The sequence below is a fragment of the Homo sapiens genome, chromosome 5 (genome assembly GCF_000001405.40).
Source record: "Homo sapiens chromosome 5, GRCh38.p14 Primary Assembly".
Taxonomy (NCBI): domain Eukaryota; kingdom Metazoa; phylum Chordata; class Mammalia; order Primates; family Hominidae; genus Homo; species Homo sapiens.
In genome coordinates, this window is record NC_000005.10 from 40,486,420 (window position 1) to 40,508,244 (window position 21,825).

Below are 21,825 nucleotides of genomic sequence, written 5' to 3' on the forward strand. Positions count from 1 at the left end.
TGGGGACCCTCCAGCATCTTCTCATTCACATCTGAAAGGACGTCTCCCAGTCCACAGTGCCTGTGATTGCCACATTCTGGTGAGAGCTATATGGCAGATTCAAAAATCATTGCGCAGCCTGTCAGCTGATTGGGGTGAATGATCAATGTAACCGGAACTAAAGTTGTATGACATCATCTTTGCCACAGCTTCACGTGACAAAGCTCACTTCAAAAGTGCTTCTTTCTCAGACAAAGCCCTTTAGTCAGAAAAGCCACAAGTAACAGTTAAAATCACCTGGTCCAACCATATGGAAAGACTCACCAAGGTTCATAAAAATGAAACCACCCAAAGTATATGAGGTCTTCTGAGTCCTAATCCAGGGCTTTGACATGGCATCACCAATGCATCACATCCCACATGGCTCTCACTTCTTCCCTGGCACCTCTGCAAAGTTCCAGGGGATTTCCTGCCTCTCACTCTTCTCTCCTCATTCTCTGGACTCACCCTGATCTCATTTATGTATGCTTTTATCATAATTTTCTCTAAAGTAGCCCCAAGTCATAATTACATTAAAACCTGAAGTCTGATAAAATAGTGAATATAAAACCACAGCACTGCTGTCAAAAGTAGAAGAGTGATAGTGAGCTTATCTCCAGGGAAATGGAGAAGTGGTCAAACCACACTGCTATTTTTACCTGCCTGGTATTATTTGAGCCTAACTGAATGTGTGGTCACATGGACAGTGATTCAGAGATGTTAGGAAATTCAGGTCACCATTTATTTAAAGCAACTAGGTTCAAAAGATCCTTATTCTTTCTTCTGCCATGAAGTTACATATCCTGGGAGTGTAAATGAACCAGTCTGGGCTTCATTTTACTCATCTGTAAAACGAAGGATTTGGACTACTTGATATATTATATCTCATTTAATCTAGGACTAAATTCTATTCCAATTGAAGGGTGATGTAGAGGGAAATTGGAAGGCTGATGAAAGAGTCTGAGGATTAGGTAGTGTAGTGTGGAGGAACAATGGAGACAGAAAGTCTTCCTTCAAATTTAGTCTTCAGCTGCATTACAAGCCAAGAGGCTTTGGTCCTGACACCCTCAGACCTGCTCTCTTATCTCTTCTGTCCCTCTACTTATTAGAATGTGTAAGCTGAAGTCATGCTTTTGAATATAACCATATTGATAAGGAGGTTAGAACTGTCAATCCTTCACACATATATGAATCCATTTGAGCAAATGCTTAAGGTATTTCTTCTTAACATTTGGTGACTCTTTTGATTATGAATTTAGTTATGAAAACTAGATAATTCTGGATATCACAGAATGAACAGGTCTTTATAGTAGGTCACATAGGCTTTGGCCCACAAGAGTGCTATCTGTGTAGTGAGACAACTCTCTAACACGGAGAAGCAGCAGAAACAGAGTTTGGGATATGCCTCACATGACCTGGCCATAGAAAAACATGCTGTTTTTCTAGGAACATGGATAGGAACCACAGCCCTTTTCACAGGACTCCTTCTTGTTGGGCTTTGGGCACCAATTCTGCCTGGCCTGGGCCAAGTCCCTGAGATGCAGTGGTGGCAAGTGAGGGTATTTAGTAATACCTGCAGCCCCCTTGGTTCCATCTTCTTCTGAAAGGCAGGAGCAGAAGAGCCTTTTTCCTAGCCCAATTCATGGACCACGAAAGAGTTCCAGAGTCCAAGCAACTGACAGTATCAGAGCATCTGAAAAGCATCATGTGTTTTTATGATTACAAGAAGGAGAAATTCATTGGGGCTAGCTAATGTAACAAAATAAAAATAAAAAGGACTCTAATGTGTGAGTGAACTCTGTCACTTGCCTACCCAGTTATTCATTTTCTTCTAGCATTATGCAATGGACAATAATTGGCCTTAGCCAGGGAATGCTTTACCCTCCCAACCTCTCTTTCTGCTAGAGGTGGCCATGCAATCCAGTGTTCAACTGGGGAAGCTTCTGAGAAAGTTTTTCTTTCTTGGTAAAAGGAACAAAAGAGGCTGGTTCCATCAGTTTCCTCTTGAACTCTGACTATTGTGACTATCTAGATCTGCCTTATATATAAACACCGCATTTATTTTCTGTAACTAATTTCTCATTTATTCATAAAGAAATCAGACATAGGACATAATGAGTGTTTATGGTCCCACTTAAGCTGAGAAAGCTTTCAAATGGCATAGGAGATATCTGTTCTTATACTATTACAAGGTCCTCCATAACCTTCACCTTAATTTCATCATAAAAATAGCTAACATTCATTACTAACTTCAATGCATTTGACAGTCATCATTCCATCTAAGCTTCACAAAAGTCCCATGAGATATATATTATTGATATTCCCATTTTACCAGTGAAGAAACTGTGTCAAGGAAACAGGTAGAAAGCCTAGACTTAGATTGAAACCCAAAGCATTTGGTTCCAGAGTCGGGAATCTAAACCACTATAACATGAAGCCACCTGCATATATATTAAACATTTCAGTTACTATCCCTAAGCAGACTACTTCTGAGTGTTGTCCTGGGAGATGATCTTCTATTCCTAACCTCCTGGCCCAGTCTTCAGATGCAGAGTTGATTGTTCTTCAGCTTGCCCATTTGTGCAGATGAAAGCAGGAGCTGAAGTGGGGCTCTTGCAAGGGCTACTAAAGGCTTTGCCTTCACTCTGAGTGCTTCACATGCCCAGACATTTGTACACATTAAGCACTTGAACCTAGATTAGGACAGGCTGAACTCATGGGAACTCACAGGTAGAAGATGAGCTGCCCCTAGTTGCTTCTTTGCAAAGAGACACCAACAAGATACTGGATTGTTCAGCATCTTTTCCTTCTGAAGGGAATAATTACTTTATGGGTGATGAGAAGCTCAAAAAAAAACCTCCCCATCTGTATTTATATGTTGCAAAATGCTACATGTCTCTATGTTACAGGTTCTCATTCCTCAGCTTAAAATGTAACTGTCCCTTATAAGATAACTTGGAAATTTACATCTGAAATGTGCAGCTTAATGTGAATGGGTTTATCAGGTCCTTTGATAAAAGCTGGATTTGGTTAGGGAGAAAAAGAAAAGAAAAAAGATGTACCTTTAGGTAGAAACAGGAAAGCAGACAAATTTTGACTTGGTTACAATTCCATCTAAGATCAGCCCGAGTCACATGTGAACAACAGGACTGAGAAGTTACCTAGAACACAGAATTCTCAGTACTAAAACCAGTATAGTCCCAGTCAAACTGGGATGGTTGGTCATCCTGTCACAGATTCACACTTTTCCATCTGCCTAGTTCTCAGGAAAACTTTTCAATTATCCGTTCTCTGAAGCCAATTCAACAGTCCCTTACTAGGTTAGTAGATAAACAAACCGTGGTAGATCCAAACAATGGAATACTGGTAGCAATAAAAAGGAACAAATTGTTGATACATGCAACAACTCAGATGAATCTTAAAGGCATTATGCTTATGAAATAAGTCAGTCTCAAAAAATTGCATGCTATATAAGAATACATTTAAAAGACATCCTAAAAAAAGAAAAAAAAAACTATAGTGACATAGGTCAATGGTTGCCAGGGGTTGGGAAAAGGGTTTGAATTTATATTCCTAAATAAATTACAAATATATATTTGTATGAATTTACATTATGTTTTAGATTATGTTTTACAAATATGTATTTTTATGAATTTACATTCATAAAGAATGACATGAGAAATTTTTTCAAAGTGATAGAACTGTGCTCAATCCTGGTAGGGATTACACAAATCTGTACATGAAATAAAATCCATAGGATTTTATACCAAAAGGAAAAAAGTCACTTTCTGTGATAAATTTTAAAATAAAATTCATTTATGAAGAATATTCCTTTAAAGAAAATGTTTATTCACACATGCATCTATGGCGTAGGACATAGATGAGCATTTTCTGTACAAGGAATAAGAAATTCTGAGTTCTTGACCCAATTCCTTTTAACTTTATGCCTAAACTTTGGCAAGTTGCTGCATTTCAGTCTTCAGTGTTCTAATCAATAAAATGAGAGTCACGAGCTAATTTAAAGAATGTCTGACCCAGCTTTAAAATTCTAAGAGGCTGTAATCTTGCACCATATGGAATTCCCCAAATTGTTTGTCTTAACTTTAGCGAAGACTAAAATTAGCTAACGGTGGCAGTTGGATTGGGCAGACATCAAATGAGGGTATTTCCTAATTAAAGATACTCTCAAAGGAGAAGTAAGGGCAAAAGTCTTTCCTACCAGAGAAATTTTTTTTAAAGGCAAACCTCAAGCTTAATAAACTTTCCTAGGCATTAAACCGCACATAGGACCCAGTAGAAAACTTATTCAAATTTTTAAATCACCTTTTCCCCTTCTTGCTCAAAATAAGAATTACAAATTAAAGGGAAAGGGAAACAAAATCACAACTCTTTCTGCCTGAAACTAAGATTTATCATTTTGGTTTTGCTACTGCATTTTAGAAAGGGTGATAAGAAAGACGGGACTTTTTTTTATGCTGCATAAAGAGATTTGAAGTTACTCAAATGAGTGTGTATTCAACCTGAAAGCAGTCTCATAGCTTCATATTGAAATTCCAGAACAGAAAACATTGCTGTGTCAGTTACACTGGAATGTCCCTTAAAATTTTTATTTTCACTTCTAATTGAGAAATTCCTGTGGAATGGATGGAGGACAAAAAGTTCACCTTACAAAGGACTTTAGAAAACCCTAACATACAAGTATCTTGCTGGCACCAGGAAAGAATTTCAAAGATGATTAAATAATGGGAAGTGTGGAAAATACAATCTCTTGAAAATATTGTTTTATTATTTAAAAATTTTGATGTCATAGATTTACTCCAAATTGTAAGTAAACACTGAATAGAGTATTAAATTTTATATATGGTGCTCTGATTCTCTCAACACTTAATATTTAAAAGCATTTGAGTATTTAAAAAGACCTCAACTAAATGTCACATGATCTTAATTTAATTTCACATTAAGTCACTGAATTGTAGTGTCATAAAAGCCTCTTCATGTGCTGTATTGGGTTAATTCAGTATACTGAATTTTTCTGCAATAAAAGTATCTTGTAATAGACAATTTGAATTTTACAGCAGAAATGAACCTTAGAAGCCATTGCTTCTTAAAGCTATTGTGTTTTAAAGTTGTAATCGAAATGCAAAGCATGTTTTGAACTAAGCAAAATATGATTCCCTAGGCCATTATATCTTAGAATCTCAGAGTTTAAAGACCTCAGCCATCATCAGGTACAACCTCTGAGCTGATACAGAAATCCCACTGTATTCCTTTTTCTGGAACACTTGCTCTACCAGGCTGCTCAGTGCTACCTACTCTGCACAAGATCAATGTGACATAACTCCAGTCACTTGACACTCCTTCAGATCACTTAGACTAGATCTGTTTCCCAATGCTTGCATCCCAGGACTTGTCTCTGTCCTCAAGGATACCAAAGATGTTATCTTTCTTGTTCACGTTTGCCCTATGGCTATAAAAATAGCAATCATGTCTCCTCCTTGGTTTTCTCTTTTTCACATTAGACATCAACTTCCCCCTCAACTAGCCCTCATGTGACTTGATTTTTCAGCCTCTTTGCATCCTGCCTGCCCTCCTATAAAGAAATCACTTTAGGTTCCCAATGGCCTCTAAATACTGTGTACCTAGACCAGAATACAGTTACTCCAGTATTTTCAATTGGCCCAGAGTCCCTAGCTCAAAATGAACAATATACTACTATTGCTGTGGTATTGATGGTCCTGCTGTTATTTACCACAATATTTCTTAACATGAGATTTCTGTCAATTAGGAAATGTCCTTCTCTGTAAAATGTAACTGATACATGAGATCAGCAGAGGAGCTATTTCATCAGCTGAAAGCCCATATGATGACCAGTATTCTAAAAAGCCAAGCAGGGAGTTGTCTAGTTAAAAGCAGGCTGGGGCCAGGCACGGTGGCTCTCACCTGTAATCCCAGAACTTTGGGAGGCCAAGATGGGTGGACCACTTGAGGCCAGGAGTTCAAGACCAGCCTGGCCAACATGGCAAAACCCCCATCTCTACTAAAAATACAAAAATTAGCTGGGTGTGGTGGTGCACACCTGTAGTCCCAGCTACTCAGGAGGCTGAGGCATGATAATCGCTTGAACCCAGGAGGCAGAGTTTGCAGTGAGCTGAGATCACACCACTGTACTCCAGAAAAAAAAAAAAAAAAACAGGGTGGAAAGCTCCCCTCAGCACAATCTCCACCTTCAGGCTTCTCAAATGTTCAACGGAGCCTAAGATTCTTGTTCTGAATGTCCAGCCCCAGCCTCATGGTCCTCTGGAGAATAAAAAAAACTTTCTAACTCTGAGTGTTACTTGCCTCTAAAAAGCTACGGCTGGTAAAATAATTTATATTCCCTTCTTCTAGGAGTGGACAATTAGGTGTTGGGTATTATACTAACACCTAAATGTCGATTCCTGTCTTCTTCTATGTGAAGAGAGAGGTTTTTTTGTTGTTGTTTCTTTGTTTGCTTTTTGGTTTTGGCTGCTTTCTTGTTGACTTTGGAAACCACTTTCCCACCGGAAAATTTTGAAACAGGGGCCATGTAAAATCAATTTAATTCTGTCTCTGGTTTAGAAAGAACATGACCCTGTTCACTAATAATTAAGAAGAAAGTTTGGGGCGGGGGGGGGGGAACTAAAACTCAAATGCTAAAAATGGTTGAGTAAAATAAGATCTACAATATGTATATGTTTGGTCTAAAGAACAAGGGACAAACAGAAAGGGGGAAACATGAGAGAAAAGGATGAAACAAAGAAGGAAAATTAAAAGGCAGAGATAGAAAAACTTCCCACACAGGACACACAGAAAGGAAAGGGAAAGAGGGAGAGAAAGAAAGGAGAGAGAGTGATATGGTTTGGCTGTGTCCCCACCCAAATCTCATCTCGAATTGTAAGCCCCATAATCCCAGGTGTCAAAGGAGGGACTTAGCATTAAGCTATTGGATCATGGGGGTGGTTTCTCCTATACTGTTCTCGTGATACTGAGTGAGTTCTCATAAGGTCTTTTTTTTAATGACATAAATTTATTTTTCCAGTTCTGGAGGGTGGAAGTCCAAGATCAAGGTGCTGGCAAGGTAGACTTCTTCTGAGGTCTCTATCCTCAACTTTCACGCAGCTACCTTCTTGCTGTGTCTTCATGTAGCCCTTTCTTTGGGTGTGTGCATACATGATTTCTCTTCCTTTTCTTTTTTTGAATTTTTATTTTTTATTCCAATAGGTTTTTGGGGAACGAGTGGTGTTTGATTACATGGATGGGTTCTTTAGTGGTGATTTATGAGATTTGGGTGCACCACTCACCCAAGTAGTGTACACTGTACCAAATATATAGGCTTTTATCCCTCACCCTCCTCCCACCCTTTCCCCCGAGTCCCCAAAGTCCATTGTATTATTCTTATGCCTTTGCATCGTCATAGCTTAGCTCCTACTTATGAGTGAGAAAATATGATATTTGGTTTTCCATTTCAGTGTGGAGATTCTAAAAGAACTAAAAGTAGATCTACCATTTGATCCAGCAATCCCACTACTGGGTATCTACCCAGAGGGAAAAAAGGTCATTATACAAAAGACACCTGCACACACATGTTTATAGCAGCACAATTTGTAATTGCAAAATTATGGAATCATCCCAAATGCCCATCAATCAACAAGTAGATAAAGAAAATGTGATATAGCATGTTCTCACTTATAAGTGGGAGCTGAACAATGAGAACACATGGACACAGTGAGGGGAACAACACACACTGGAGCCTGTCAGAGTGGAGTAGGGAGAGCGTCAGGATAAATAGCTAATGCATGCAGGGCTTAATACCTAGGTGGTGGATTGATAGGTGCAGCAAACCACCATGGCACATGTTTACCTATGAAACAAACCTACACATCCTGCACATGTATCCCAGTACTTAAAAGTAAATTAGATTAAATTTAAAAAATACAAATTAAGAAAAAAAATAAATAAAATAAATAAAATGTGGTATATATTAGGTTGGTGCACAACTAATTTCAGTTTTTGCTATTTTTTTTAAAAAGTAATTGCAGAAACTGCAATTCATTTTGCACCAACCTAATATATACCATGGGATACTACTCAGGCATAATAAGGAACAAATAATGGCATTTCCACCATGCCATTCTATCCATGCTGGATGGAATTGGAGACCATTATTCTAAGTGAAGTAACTCAGGAATGAAGTAACTGATGATTTTATAAATCGTAGTTTCCCCTGGGTTTTTCTCTCTTTCCTACCACCTTGCAAAGAAGGTACTTGCTTCTTCTTCACCTTCCGCCATGACTGTAAGTTTCCTGAGGCCTCCCCAGCCATGCAGAACTGTGAGTCAGTTAAACCACTTTTCTTTCTAAATTACCCAGTCTCAGGTAGTATCTTTATAGCAGTATGAAAATAGAGAGCGAGAAAGAGAGAAAGAGAAGGAAAGCGGTGAGAAGAGGCTGGGAGGGACAGCAGAAGGATATGGGATTCTAGCAGAGAAGCATTAATGTGATGTACTTTAGGTTCTCTCCACACCCATCCAAGAGCAAAGCTCTGATCTACATTCCAAAGGTTCATGTTAGTGAGAATCAGACCTCCCAGCCAAGAGCCCTGCCCCTCCATCCCTGCCAGGAGAGAAGTGTTCATCCCAATGCTCAGCATTCCTCTCATTTGCTCACATACAGCATGAGAAATGCTGACATTTTAGCTTATACTTTAAGAAATTCTGGGTTTCATGAGATTTTCACTTTGTTAATATAATATACCAAAAAAGCCTCCAGTTTTTAAAAGATAATAATTACAGTCATTATAAATGAAAGTCACATCTAGGATCGCATCTCCAATTCCTCATTTTACAATGGAGAAATTGAGGCTCAAAGCTGAGGTGACTTCCCCAGGGTTTCACAACCCAGCCAGCCATAAACTAGAACAAGGAAGGAGCAAAGTGTCAGTACCAACAACGTGAGAGCAAAGTCATTTTCTGAAAATGTACACCATTGAAACAGCCCAAGTCGTTGTCACCTTGAGTTTTCTCCACCATACATCTGCAGGCTTGGCTCTGTCACATCACCACTTCCTGATGTGGGGATTGTTTTCCTTTCAAGAATAAATAAACAGTAAGAGCCAATAAACTCTAGAATGATGAATGCCCTCTTTTCTTAATATTTTCTTCCCAGAAGATGGAATATGACACACAAGGAAAATTCTTTTCACCAGAATAATAAATATTTATCATTAAGATGCAAACAAGACATGAATGAAACTCTTGGGGTGATTTTACTTTCTGTCAGTGCAACATTTTCTGCAAGTCTGTGAGGCAGTCAGCCCAGAGTGGACAAACAAAGCTGACTGATTGATTCTGAACATGAGTTTGGCCACTAAGTAGCCCACGAGCGATGGGACTGCTGAGACATGGTGCTGTGTTATTTGTTCCACTCAAGCAAATTCCAGGCATTAGCTTGCCTGCCCCAAACCCACCTACACAGTGACAAATTCAATTCCCACATCAACCAGAAATACCAGGACTCACTCGCTCCTGCATCTCAAAAGAGACTGTCCCCAATTTCTGGAGGGCCCCAGTGGAGAAAGAGTCCCACCGCAATAGAAGTCATTCCTGTGAGATGCTATAAGCTGCTCAGCATCACCCAGCCATGGCTCAAGATCTCACTCTACTCCCCAATGCAAGTATGATCATTTTTCCTTTTTTTTTTTTGTATGCTTAAGCTCAACGACAAGAAATGTATGGTCTTTGTATCATTTCTAATCCAAACGAACTCTTTTCATCCCTTACAAACACACCGAAAATCCTGTGATTCTAATCACAGAACTGGAAAAATCCAAGTCAAATGATTCTCATCTAACTGAATGGAGATGAATGGGTTATAAGCACTTATTGAACACCCACCACATACAGGACACCCTATGAGGGGCCTGCACTGGCCTGACGGAGAGAGTGAATGATCATTACATCCTAACATAAAACTGCTGCAACCAAATTTTGCAGATGTTCATTCAGGTTAGTTAGCTGGGCTCTTGGCCTTTGTCTTGACTGCATTCTTGCCCTTTTGTGCCCATTGTTCCTATTAACACCTCTTTGAGAAGGTAATATGAAAGAATTTAAATTAAGCAAGACAGTTTAAAGAAGGTCTTTGTTAATATGAAAGTTGAAGATTATATCTGAATATCATTAACCCTTGCTATTTGAATCCTTTATTACTGCCGTTGGTTTGATTTGGTGGTAGCATAGGGGTTACAGAACATTGCCTGTGGCAGTGTAACAGCACTGCGCAGGTAAAGAGAGCATTACTCGTGCAGCTTCTAATCCATACTTTGGGTCTCAGTTTTTCTACTTAAAGAACAAGCATTCATGTTTCTTTCTCCCAAAGATTATTTTATTATTCCTGAGGACTGTGTCTGCTAAGCATGTCAAAATTTCCCAACATTAGTTAGAAAACCTGCTGCCTCTTTTTGCCTTAACAATCCTTCACAAATCAGTAGCAAACACCTAGAGAAATTACCTTTATAATCTAGGATGCAAAAGCAAGGGAACATGGGTGCAGGTGGGGACCCCCCCCACAGCAGAGGCACAGGTACCTCTGGTCACCTCAGAAGTACAATTGCAATAGATTGACTTAGATGCCATCTTGCTAAAGGCAAGGAACATACTAGGTGGCATGTGATAAATTTTCTAGGCTTATAAACCTAATTCTTGATTTCATGCCTCCAAGAGATCTGAAATTAAAGAGAAGAAGTTGGGTCAGCAAAATTGAATTTCGTGGAAAGTACAGCTATAGGAGTGATGCACTTAATTTCCTTTACTGACCATTCTATTACAAAGAAAATGGATAATTGTGATTCAAGAAGCTGAGGGAAATAAAATGGAAAAAAGGTAGTCAACATCTTCTAATAAAGGTCAATATTAGAAATAACTTCAGCTAACCCTTTCCTTGACGTGATAATTCAATATTTTACAGATAAATTCCCTGTAGTTATTTTGCCCGCTAAAATATATTAAGCTCCCTTCCATGCGCATCACACAGTGTTAAATACGGAAAGTCGAAAACAAAGGACAGGGGAAAGAAATTGATCCCTGACTTAAAGCAACTGCATTTTTCCAATGACAAGTTTATATCAATTGGTTAGTGTTTCTCAAAGTGTCATCTATGGATCCTCTGACCAGAGTCACCATAAGAGCTCTGCAGAAATACAGGGGCTGGGCCTTACCTAACACCTAGTCATTTAGAATCTCTGAGAGAAGGGCCTCTTTAGAGGGTTCCCTAGAGACTCTTAAGTACAGTAAAGTTTGAGATTGCTGCCATAGGAACAATCACAAGTCTACATCATTCAGGAGATTTGAGTGCAGGCCTAGATGAGAGAATGACTAATTACCTTGGATTAAAATTCACTAAGAATCTGACTTTCCATTTCCTGTCTTATACTGAAGCTCACATTCCAACTGAATTCCTTTGGCTCTTACGGATGAAAAGAAATTGCTGTATATTCCTGAATTACCTTTACTAATAGTTCAGCCACACTCGAAGACCTGAATATAGTAGAAACTTGAATAATTTGGACCTGCTAAAGGAGAGGTCACATAGCTTGGAAGCGGTCAGAATCAGCAGACATTTGGCCTGGCGCAGAGGCTCACACCAGTCTGGCCAATATGGTGAAACCCCATCTCTACTAAAAATACAAAAAAATATTTAGCCGGGCATGGTAGTGCATGCCTGTAGTCCCAGATACTCAGGAGGCTGAGGCTGGAGAATCACTTGAGCCCAGGAAGCGGAGGTTGCAGTAAGCCAAGATCGTGCCACTGCACTCCAGCCTGGGTGACAGAGCAAGACTCTGTCTCAAAAAAAAAAAAAAAAAAAAAGAATCAGTGGACATTTGAGATTTTTTTTCCTGTGGCATAATAGTAATGTATTCTGGCTTACAAACCAATGCCGAATTTTAAATCTGAGCTTTTGGCCTTGATGTGATTGATATGTACTGAAAAATGTTCCCACCACCTCACTTATCCCCTGGTCCGTCATTATCAATTGTTATGAAATTTGTTCCCTCTGGTTTAACAAGAATTCCGGTTCCAAAACTGAATAACTTATGGCACAGAGAAAGAAATAATTTAAAGACACAAAATGCCAGCCACTGATTTCCTTAGCCCCTTTTCGTTTATTGATCATCATAACTGTGGGGGTAGATGTTATTAGTCCTATTTATATTTGAAGATAGGGGATCACATGGGTACAAAATGATAAAGCAGATGCAATGTCAGGATCTCCACCCCCAGACGAGGAAGCTGTCTTAATTGCACTAGGCAGCATCTTCTTTCAATGCAAATAGGCTGAAGAAAGCAACATGTTTGTTACACTAGGGAGTAAATGACATAAAGAAGAAGGAGAAGGAGAATAAAAGCAAAATATCAGGCAAGTAAGGAGTCTCTGGAGAGTGGAGGGAAAAGGGTGTCAGCAAGTGGAACAAGAATAAAGAAGGGAAAAATAGATGGGCACCCAAACCAAACTTCTTCCATTTGACAAATTTTGTGAAGACTTTTCTGACAGACAGAGGTCCCTCCATGCTGGTCTTAAAGATTTTTAAAAACTCACTTAGCAGCAGCAGCATATTGTAACGAATATGTCAAAGAATCCCATGTACTCATACCCAATAAAATTGTTCCCTGTTAAAATAACATTCTTCCTTGCAATTTTGGTTTCACTATTGCTGAAACATGGTAAAAACTGTTTCTTGTAATACCAAACATTTTGCTCTGCTCTGTAGCTGACATGACACTTGTAGCTTCCACGGGTTGCTTGATGAATAAGTACAACACCAAACCATCAGATGGTAAAGGCTCTTCTCCACATCTCATGTCTCAGCTGCCACAACACAAACCCTTCAAAGGAGACACATTCCCAGTTTCATGCTCCAAGTGAGACAGATGCTCCCCAAAGCCACTACACCACCTCAGAACTAGAGAAAAGAAGTCCTCAGATTTCCTTTTGTTCCTGAGACCAGCACACTGAGGCTCTTTTACTTTCCCCTTGGCCACCATCCTGCTGAGAGCTGCAGGAGAGAATGTCTGTCTAGTGTCCCCATATCCCCCTGTCTGGCTATCAAATGTAAAGCCACCAGACCTGACATCCCTGTTGTCTATTAACCAGAAACCTGAGCTCCATCCCTAGTACTCTGTACATTTCCTACTCTGACCCACTTTCTTAATCATCCTGTACCTCCCAAACCCCTCCAGTGTTTCCTCTTGTCTGCCATCAGCAAACACTCTTGTTATGAGTTGAACTGCATCCCTCTCTCCGTTCATATGTTGACATCGTAACCCTCAGTACTTTAGAGTGTGACCTTATTGAGAAATAGGGCTGTTGCAGATGTAATTAGTTAGGATAAGGTCATACTGCAGTAGGATGGCCCTCTGATCCAATAGAACTAGTGTCCTTCTCAAACAGGCAAGTTTGGACAAAGACACACACACACATACACACAAAAACACCAAATGAAGATTGGAGTTATGCTGTGGCAAGCCAAGGAACTACCAGAAGTTAGGAGAAAGGCCTGGAACAGACCTCAGGGAAGCACAGCCCTGCTGGCATCTTGACTTTGGACTTTTGGCCTTCAGAACTGGAAGACAATAAATTTCTGTTGTTTTAAGCCACCCAGTTTGTAATACTTTGTTATACCTCCCCGGAAAAAGAATACAACCCATCTTTGAGCACTCCCTTCACCTGGCTCCCCACTAGTGGCACAGCTTCTCTTGCAGTCTTACTGAGGGAAGATTTCTTCTCCTTCCCCTTGGTACCTCAAAGCCTGGAGTTAGATCCCATTGCTCCTTCTAAACCATTTCTTCTCCCTGTGCTCAAAAGCCCAGATCCTTTGAAGTTTAAGCCATCATACTCTTTCTACTTGCTACTGGCATCTACAAAACTTGGTCACTCTTCATCACTTATTGATGACTTTGTCACCTGTTCTATAACTTCCTTTCTACCCCCACTCCTGGCAAAACGTTTAATGACATCAACTCTCTGGTGTCTTGGTTCCTCTACATTCTCATGTCCAAAAGTTGTTTCTTCCATTCCAGTTCAATCTCCTATTCCTTGTTGTCATCACCATTAACTGTACTAACTTCAGAATCTCAGCCTCCAGCTTCCCCCTCTCTGAACACCACGTTCTAATCTTTGAGCTCATTTACTCGGTACATAATCTCTCAAAATTCTCCACTTTCAGTTATGGAGACTTCCAATCAACTGAAAGGTAACTGACACCAAACATTTCCTCTTGAACACTTTTCTTATGTCTTATCTTCTTACCTAGTTTGAAGTCCACTCATCCTTAATTAGAATTACTTCCTTGGAAACACCTTTCACTCTCTCTCCATTTTTGTACCAGCACATCTACTTGGCAATGCTCCAACCCAGGTAGTACCCACCAATCTACCTATTCTGGGTTTCTACCTAAGAAATTAAACTTGCTGGACTAAAATATACAACTATGCCTTCAGATTTCCCTTTAAAGTCATGACTACGAAAGTATATTTACCAGCTGTCATCACTTCACACTTCTAGTAATAACCTCTCATTCCCTGAAAAGTTATAACACTGGATTGTCTTTCTTTCCATCGCTTTTCCTATGAGGTATTGGTGATTGTAATATTCAAATAACTAATCCATTTAATAGTATAGCATGTCAGTTTCTTGATTATCTCATTTTTGTTGACTTTGTCTTCATCTCTACCTCCAGTACCCACGTAAGTGACTATATCCTAGATCTTATTATTGATTGAGATCTGCAATCTCAATTTGAAGCCATTCTCTAATCTCTAACTTCCAATCTTCCCAGGTCATGTTCTCCCACATACTTACTCCAAAACTCTTTGGGCCCTACTGGGATATTCAGTCTATTAATCCTACCACCTACTTTTCTCCAATCCCTCCTTTTCTTCTTACCAAATGTAGATTCCAGGATCCATCATTTAACCACTCCTTCTACAGATCCTCAACTAGCTTGCTTCCTTTGTACCTGTCTGACAAAACGCCAACCTGCTAAAACCTAAATCTCTCCCTATATCTGCAGCTGAGCAGCCAAATGTGGCTAGACAAAAACACAACCATGCTGACTCTTCTTTCAAATATGACCTCAAGCTTCAAAAACGTTAATATTGCCCAGCAATTCTCTATATTCTTCTGGCTTTTCCACTCTTCAGACACCTCTTTTACATCTTTTTTTTTTTCCTGTCCCTAAACCTCTGCATTGGCTCTATTCTTACTCTCAGCTGAAATATTTGCCTCTTATTTTCCTAATCCAATCGAAGTATTTAGGAGATAATTCCCATATCCTACCTACTATAAGTTTATCAAACTACCTACATCTGTACCTTGTCTCCTGTTGCAATGGATGAACTGTCCCTGCTCCTATCTAAAGCCAACCCCTCCTTTTATTATCTAGATTCCATCCCATTATCTTCACTCAGACTTTGCTCCTACAATTATCCCCTCTCTTAATTGCAACACAAGTTTTCACATTGATATACAAATTGCTCCCATATTTAAAATACCCTGCTTGATTTCTTTCTAGCACCTGGCCCATTTTTCTATTCTTCTTTGTAGCAAAACTCCTCAGAGAGGATGCCTGTGATAGCTGGGTTCCTATTCTCAACACTTCTAGTCAGGATATTGATTCAAGATTTCACTAAGCTCACTCACATCATCAGCTCCAGTCATCAATGGTTGGTCCCCACACTTTTCCAACCCTCAGCAGTACTGAGTAGAGTTAATCATATCCTTAAAACATTTTTTCCCTTGGTTCCGAGGGCGTTGCACCTTATTGTTTTACAGCCTACGTTGCAGGCTGCTCCCTTTCCAATCTCTTTGCAGGATGCTCCTTCTCTTCTTAACACAAAGTTGTGTTAAGATTAGGGCAGCTATTCCCCAGGTGCCCTAATCTAGTCCAATAGCTTAATACTCTGTCTGTATGATGATGACTCCTGAAGTAGCAACCCTGATCACTCACTTAAACATTAGATATGCACGTCCAGTCACTTACAGGACACCTCTTAGTAGGCTCCAAACCCAACTCTTGATTCCTACTCTGCAGCCTCTAAAATGTCTCCTTCCTTTGTCTCTCAGTAAGTGAGCAACTACCCCATTTCTAACCCATTAATCCAGCCAGACACCTAAGGTTAGTGTTCGATGTTTTCCCTTTCTCAGACTCTCTACATTCAATCCATCAGCAAGACTGATTCACAGTACTATCTCAACACATACGTATGGAATAGATGAATACATGAATAAATAAGCAAGTGTATACAACTGTCCTGTGCCAGGAGCAGAAACTAGGAAAAACTATCCATCCCTTACAGTCCAAAGATTCAAATAACAGCATTCATTCTTAACATGGCTTTTTAATAACTAATGAGAAAATGAAACCCGTAATAAAGTCATATGCCAAGATTCATAGCAAGAGTCCTCACTTCTCAAATTTGATCACTTCCCCTTAATTTACTGGCACAGCCTGCCCAGTGTTGCTATTTTGGGGGATCCGATTTCTCTTCTGCTAACCAGTTTAAATAAGTCCTAAAATTATGCGTTTTAAGTTATTGCTCTCCAAATATAATTTCTAAACTTCTATAATATATTAATTGCCAGCCATTGATAACTACTCAGGTAAAAATCTGGAGAACAAAACTAATTAAACCAACTTTCTAGATTAAAGGAGCGATAGTTCTGGTGTACTAGAGATGAAAAACAATTAACCATATCAAATTATCTGTGGGAACAACCTCTGAGAGTTGTGTTTTTTACAACTTAATATTTTAATCCAATATTTTCTATTTGCTTTTCAACCCCAAATTCAATTTGAAATGTAAATAGTTAATGTTTTTAGGAATGGGAAACATTAATTCACTTATTTTCTGGTACACAAAGAACATTAGTGCCTATAAAAATGACTTGGGTCATTGCTTTTTCAATAAAAGAGCAAAAATTTGAGCCAGGGTTGACTCACATATCCATTAGCATCTTAGGTTTATTGACTGTCATCCCATTCCTTTCAAACGCTTTTGAATTCAGAGAGTACTCACCAGACAATAAGTATACAAATCACTCACTTTAATAAAATTTTGTTGAATACCTAGATTGTAAGTTTATTCCTCACACTAAGAAGTCAGTCAGTCATGAGACAGACAGTCAATCCTGACGAGGCCCCACCACAACACACTCAGTGGTTATAAAGGGCAACAGGAAAGCAGAAAGCACAGCCTAACACCACTCATGGAAAATTTTATAGCACATGCACTCTTTGCAGGAAGTCAATGTAAATGCTATGTAAATACTGTATTGTTTATTGTAATACTGTAAATACTGTAATACTGTATTGCTTTTAATTTGTATTATTTTTATTGTTATGTTATTCATTTTTATCAACAGTTTTTTGACTGTGGAGGTGGAACTTTTGGATACAAAATGCTGATTATATGCTGAGAAAGGATAAAGAAGGAAATGTCTTAAATAGAAGAAAACATAAGAAGATAGAAACTGCAGAGGACAGAGGACCACTGTATGCCCTGAAGACATCACTAAAGTGGCACATGAAGCACACTTTTGAACACTCAGGAAGAAATTCCTGACAATCAATGGACACAGAAAAACATTATTAAGTAAAACTTGTGGTGACTCTTTTGCTAGGCAGTGGGGCATAGTGGTTAAAAATTTGGGACTTGGGAGCCATTTCCAAAAAGAAAAAAAAATAATGAACAAAAAAGTTCGTGGAGCTGCTTCCTGCGGAAATCATGAAAAATGCCATTGAAAGTCAAAGCCCTGCACTAATAACTAATTATTTGTCCTTGAACAAGTTATTTGTGAATACAGAACCCATAGATACGAAAGGCCAACTGTACTTATTGAAAACAATCCAGGTATAACTAGACCCGCACAGTTCAAACCCATGTTGTTCAAGGGTCAACTGTATAATTCACTTAATCCCTAGAGCAACTGTAAGAGCTAGATACGATTGTTATCCTTGTTTTGTAGGAGAGGAAAGTGAGGCACAGAAGTGTGGTTCAAGGACCAGAAGCATCTGCATCACTTGGGAGTTTGTGAGAAATGCATAATCTTAAGGCCCACCTCAGATTGCTAAATTGGAATCTGCTTTTTAATAAAATTAGCAGATTCCTACAAATATTAAAGTATCAGAAGCACCTGGCTAAAACCATCTTCCCAAAAGTGGTGGAAGGGGATTTCAAGCCTTACAGGTCTCACTCTACACTGTACTGTATAAGCCTCTTTGCATTAGAAAATTAATGTAAAGTGCCTAGCATATTATAAGTAATAAACATTGTCCATCATTATAATATTTTAGGAATAGTTTGTACATATTTCTACCTGGAAGTAAAACTATTTATTTATTTGTTTATTTATTTATTTATTTATTTATTTCAAACTAAAATTTAAAAAGCTGAAATTATCACCAAACACTTAGCATTGACAGGAATTCGAATTGCAGAATTATAGAACATCAACACTTAAAGGGAACAGTAAGATCTAAGAATTCAAATCTCTTGTTTCATTTCTGTGGAAATTTGTGCTAAAAGAGATATGAAGTTAATGTGACGAAAGTCAGCCAGCAAATTAGGGGCATAGGAAGGACTTAAACTTGGGTCTTGGTAGCTAGGTCTGCAATCATGCAATTATTACTGACTTCTCTTCATTCCCTGCCACTGCATAGGTCAAAAAAGGCAATTGGATAAGTAAGCAATTCGCAGATCCAAGTGGTTTCACATTACTGTTTAAAGCGCTCTCCCGACCACAGAGGCTACTTGTGATGTCTATGAATATAAAATATCTTCATAATGTGTTTTTTCAGAAATCAGCTGTTTACTGGTTCTGTAGTAGATTCTCTCCTGGGTATTTCCTTAGCATTTGGCTAGAACATTGGTGCAAAATTGATGTGGTATAATATTGTAAACTTTGGGCAATAGTGTAACCTCTCCCAACAATCCTTTTTTCTATCCAACATTAATTCTTATCATTCTATCCATCTTCATAGGAAATTTTTTAAGTAACAATGTTTTAGTCTTCTCTAAATTACAGCATATTTTTCCCTGCCCTCAAGAGTCCCCATCTTATAAATGTTTGCCTTTCGGTTAGTCCAGCCAAATTTTATTTTTTTGCCTGCCACCTGCATTCTAATAGTCCTTTTGCCTCTTATGCACCTACTCTTGACCATTCATTTCTCCTCTTATCTCTACAGTGTTCCAAGATAATTATGCAAAGTATATTCAGATCACTCCTTCAGCAGGCTACTGCATTCTTTCTTCAAATTGCTCAAAATACATTTCTCCCAAAAAGTATTTTCTTTACTTGTTGAGAATAACCAGGAATTGATTCATATTAGGCATTTTATTCATCTTTACTATGTAATCAGCAATAGAAATCTGATAGGCATGATCCCTGACTTCATCTTCTACGCAATATTCTATGTATATATACCAGCTTGCCTTTAGCCTTATTACTGAGTTTTAATTTTGATACTGTGATAGTTAACTACATGTGTCAACTTAACTGGGCCACAAGATGCCCTGATATTTTAAACAGTATTCTGGTTGTGTCTGTGAGCATGTTTCCAGATGAGATTAACATTTGAATCAGTAGATTCCCCTCCCCAATGTGGTCGGGTGTTATCCAAGCCTTTGAAAGGCTGAATAGACCAAAAAAAAAGAATAAATGAGAATTCACTGTCTCTGACTGTTTTAGAGCTGAACATTGACCCTCTCCTATACTCAGACTGGGACTTATGCCATCAATTCTTCTGGTTCTCAGGATTTGGACTGGAACTACACTACCAGCTCTCCTGGGTCTCCAATTTGCAGATGGCAGATATCATGGGACTTCTTAGCCTATGCCTTATAATAAATTGTGTGTGTGTGTGTGCGTGTGTGTGTGATACATATATATATATATATATATATATATATATATATATATATATATATATATATATGAGGTATGTGTGTTTGTGTGTGTGTCCGTCCTATTGGTTCTGTTCCTCTGGAACAGATCAGACTATTAGAGATAGATTATGTGCCTTCACCTACTCACTGTTCCTGCTTTCCTTCCATGTGCTCACTGTTCCCTGTGAATGGCTCAGGATTTGCTATGGGAAGTAATTTTGCCTTCCTATGAAAAGTAGATAAAGATTCAGATCCACCCTTTCTAAGTTGTAAGTATTTTTACTTTACGTGAACTTCCTTTAATGATTTAAACAAGAAGTGGAAAGCTTAATGTATGCTCAACTTTTTAAAAACTTAACAGAAAAAAATTGGAACACTATTGACCAAAACTTTTAGCACTTTGGTTATCTAACGGTGTTTCCATTATGGGCGATGTTAATTTATTTATCTTTGCTTTTCTATATATTTCAAGATTAATCAAACAGTATATTAATACTAATTTCGAAAAGACCAAAATCATTAAAAAAACAGATCGTTTTGATTCATACTGTCCTCTAGTTGGTAATCCCCAACAAATCAGCACAAATATCACACCAAAATTAGAACAAAAATTTGTTAACAATAAAAAAGATAAAAACCCAGCAAATCTACACCAATTAAAAATAGATGATCACAAGGAAGAATAAACTAGTTTAAGATAAACCTACATAGGCTACTCACAGCACATTCCACCTTATATCATGAAACAGAAATCACCAAAAACCAAAAGATAAGATCTTTGCCGTTTCTCTCCATATGTCCTCAGATTCAAAGATCCAAGAAGTTACAACTGAAGAACAAGGTAGGGTTTCCTTTCTACCTTCTGTATTCTACTCTGTGAAGAAAGTAGTAACTATGCCCATTTACCATTTCCACCACCAGATGGTATAATCATCTACAAAAAAGAAAAAAAAACTCATTTAATTCAAAGAGTGAGAATTATATAAGGTACATTTTTCTCACCACAAAGCAGAATTACAATACTTTTTTTTTAAGTACTGTTTGGAAATTAGAAGAGGAAAATTACCTTTAAATAAACTTGGTTAGAATAAGAACCCGAAACTATAATTACAGATCATTTAGAAAACACCAAAAATAAGGATACAACATGTAAAAACTTAGTAAATATGGCCAAGCTGTATAATCAAAGAAATTTACTTTAAGTGATTTTATTATTAATTTCTAGAAATTAAAATAAATTAACAAAACAATTTGCTCTATAAATTAGAGTAAAACAGAACAAACTTCAGGAAAACAAGCAGAAATTGTTAATAAAGTAGAAATCAATAAATTAGGAAATACTGAAATAGAGGTAAATTCGAGTTTATAAACAAATTCAAAAGCTGTTTATTTAAAAAGAACAATAGAATAAACAATTTAGACAAATATAACTTAAGAAAGACATAAGAGAAAAAACACAGACCCCTCTGAAATTAGAAAAAAAGATCAAACTACAACAATGAAGATAATTTTTTTAATTTGAAAAAAAGTAGATCTATAATCATGGAATAAATTGGGGAAAATTGTCAAAGAAATTTTTCAAAGTTAGATAGACAAATAATTTCTGGTCTTTCAAGTAACAGATAATTACTTTGCTATTTACATTCTTAAAAAGTATAGAAAAAAGAGCCAGGCGCAGTGGCTCATGCCTGTAATCCTAGCACTTTGGAAGGCTGAGGCAGGCGGATCACGAGGTCAGGAAATCGAGAACATCCTGGCTAACACAGTGAAACCCCGTCTCTACTAAAAACACAAAAAAAATTAGCTGGGTATGGTGGCGGGCGCCTGTAGTCCCAGCTACTCAGGAGGCTGA

The 21,825-nt window shown here is 38.2% G+C and overlaps 4 annotated features.

Moving 5' to 3' along the window:
* Nucleotides 327–386: an enhancer, noted in NCBI's record as "active region_22500". NCBI's record gives its function as "activates an Ori minimal core promoter by ATAC-STARR-seq in GM12878 lymphoblastoid cells {active_cell/tissue: GM12878}" and the evidence as "EXISTENCE:reporter gene assay evidence [ECO:0000049][PMID:35858748]".
* Nucleotides 4,014–4,163: an enhancer, noted in NCBI's record as "rs9283753 150 bp oligo used in MPRA constructs". NCBI's record gives its function as "activates a minimal TATA promoter with higher activity for the rs9283753 T allele by MPRAs in lymphoblastoid cell lines {active_cell/tissue: LCL}" and the evidence as "EXISTENCE:reporter gene assay evidence [ECO:0000049][PMID:27259153]".
* Nucleotide 4,088: a transcriptional cis regulatory region, noted in NCBI's record as "rs9283753 emVar and PTGER4 eQTL with higher activity for the alternative T allele than the reference C allele". NCBI's record gives its function as "positively regulates PTGER4 gene expression with skewed activity for the T allele in lymphoblastoid cell lines {active_cell/tissue: LCL}" and the evidence as "EXISTENCE:mutant phenotype evidence [ECO:0000015][PMID:27259153]" and "EXISTENCE:natural variation mutant evidence [ECO:0001103][PMID:27259153]".
* Nucleotides 9,831–10,372: an enhancer, noted in NCBI's record as "NANOG hESC enhancer chr5:40496352-40496893 (GRCh37/hg19 assembly coordinates)". NCBI's record gives its function as "activates a minimal SCP1, AML or CMV promoter by ChIP-STARR-seq in primed H9 embryonic stem cells {active_cell/tissue: H9 hESC(primed)}" and the evidence as "EXISTENCE:reporter gene assay evidence [ECO:0000049][PMID:30033119]".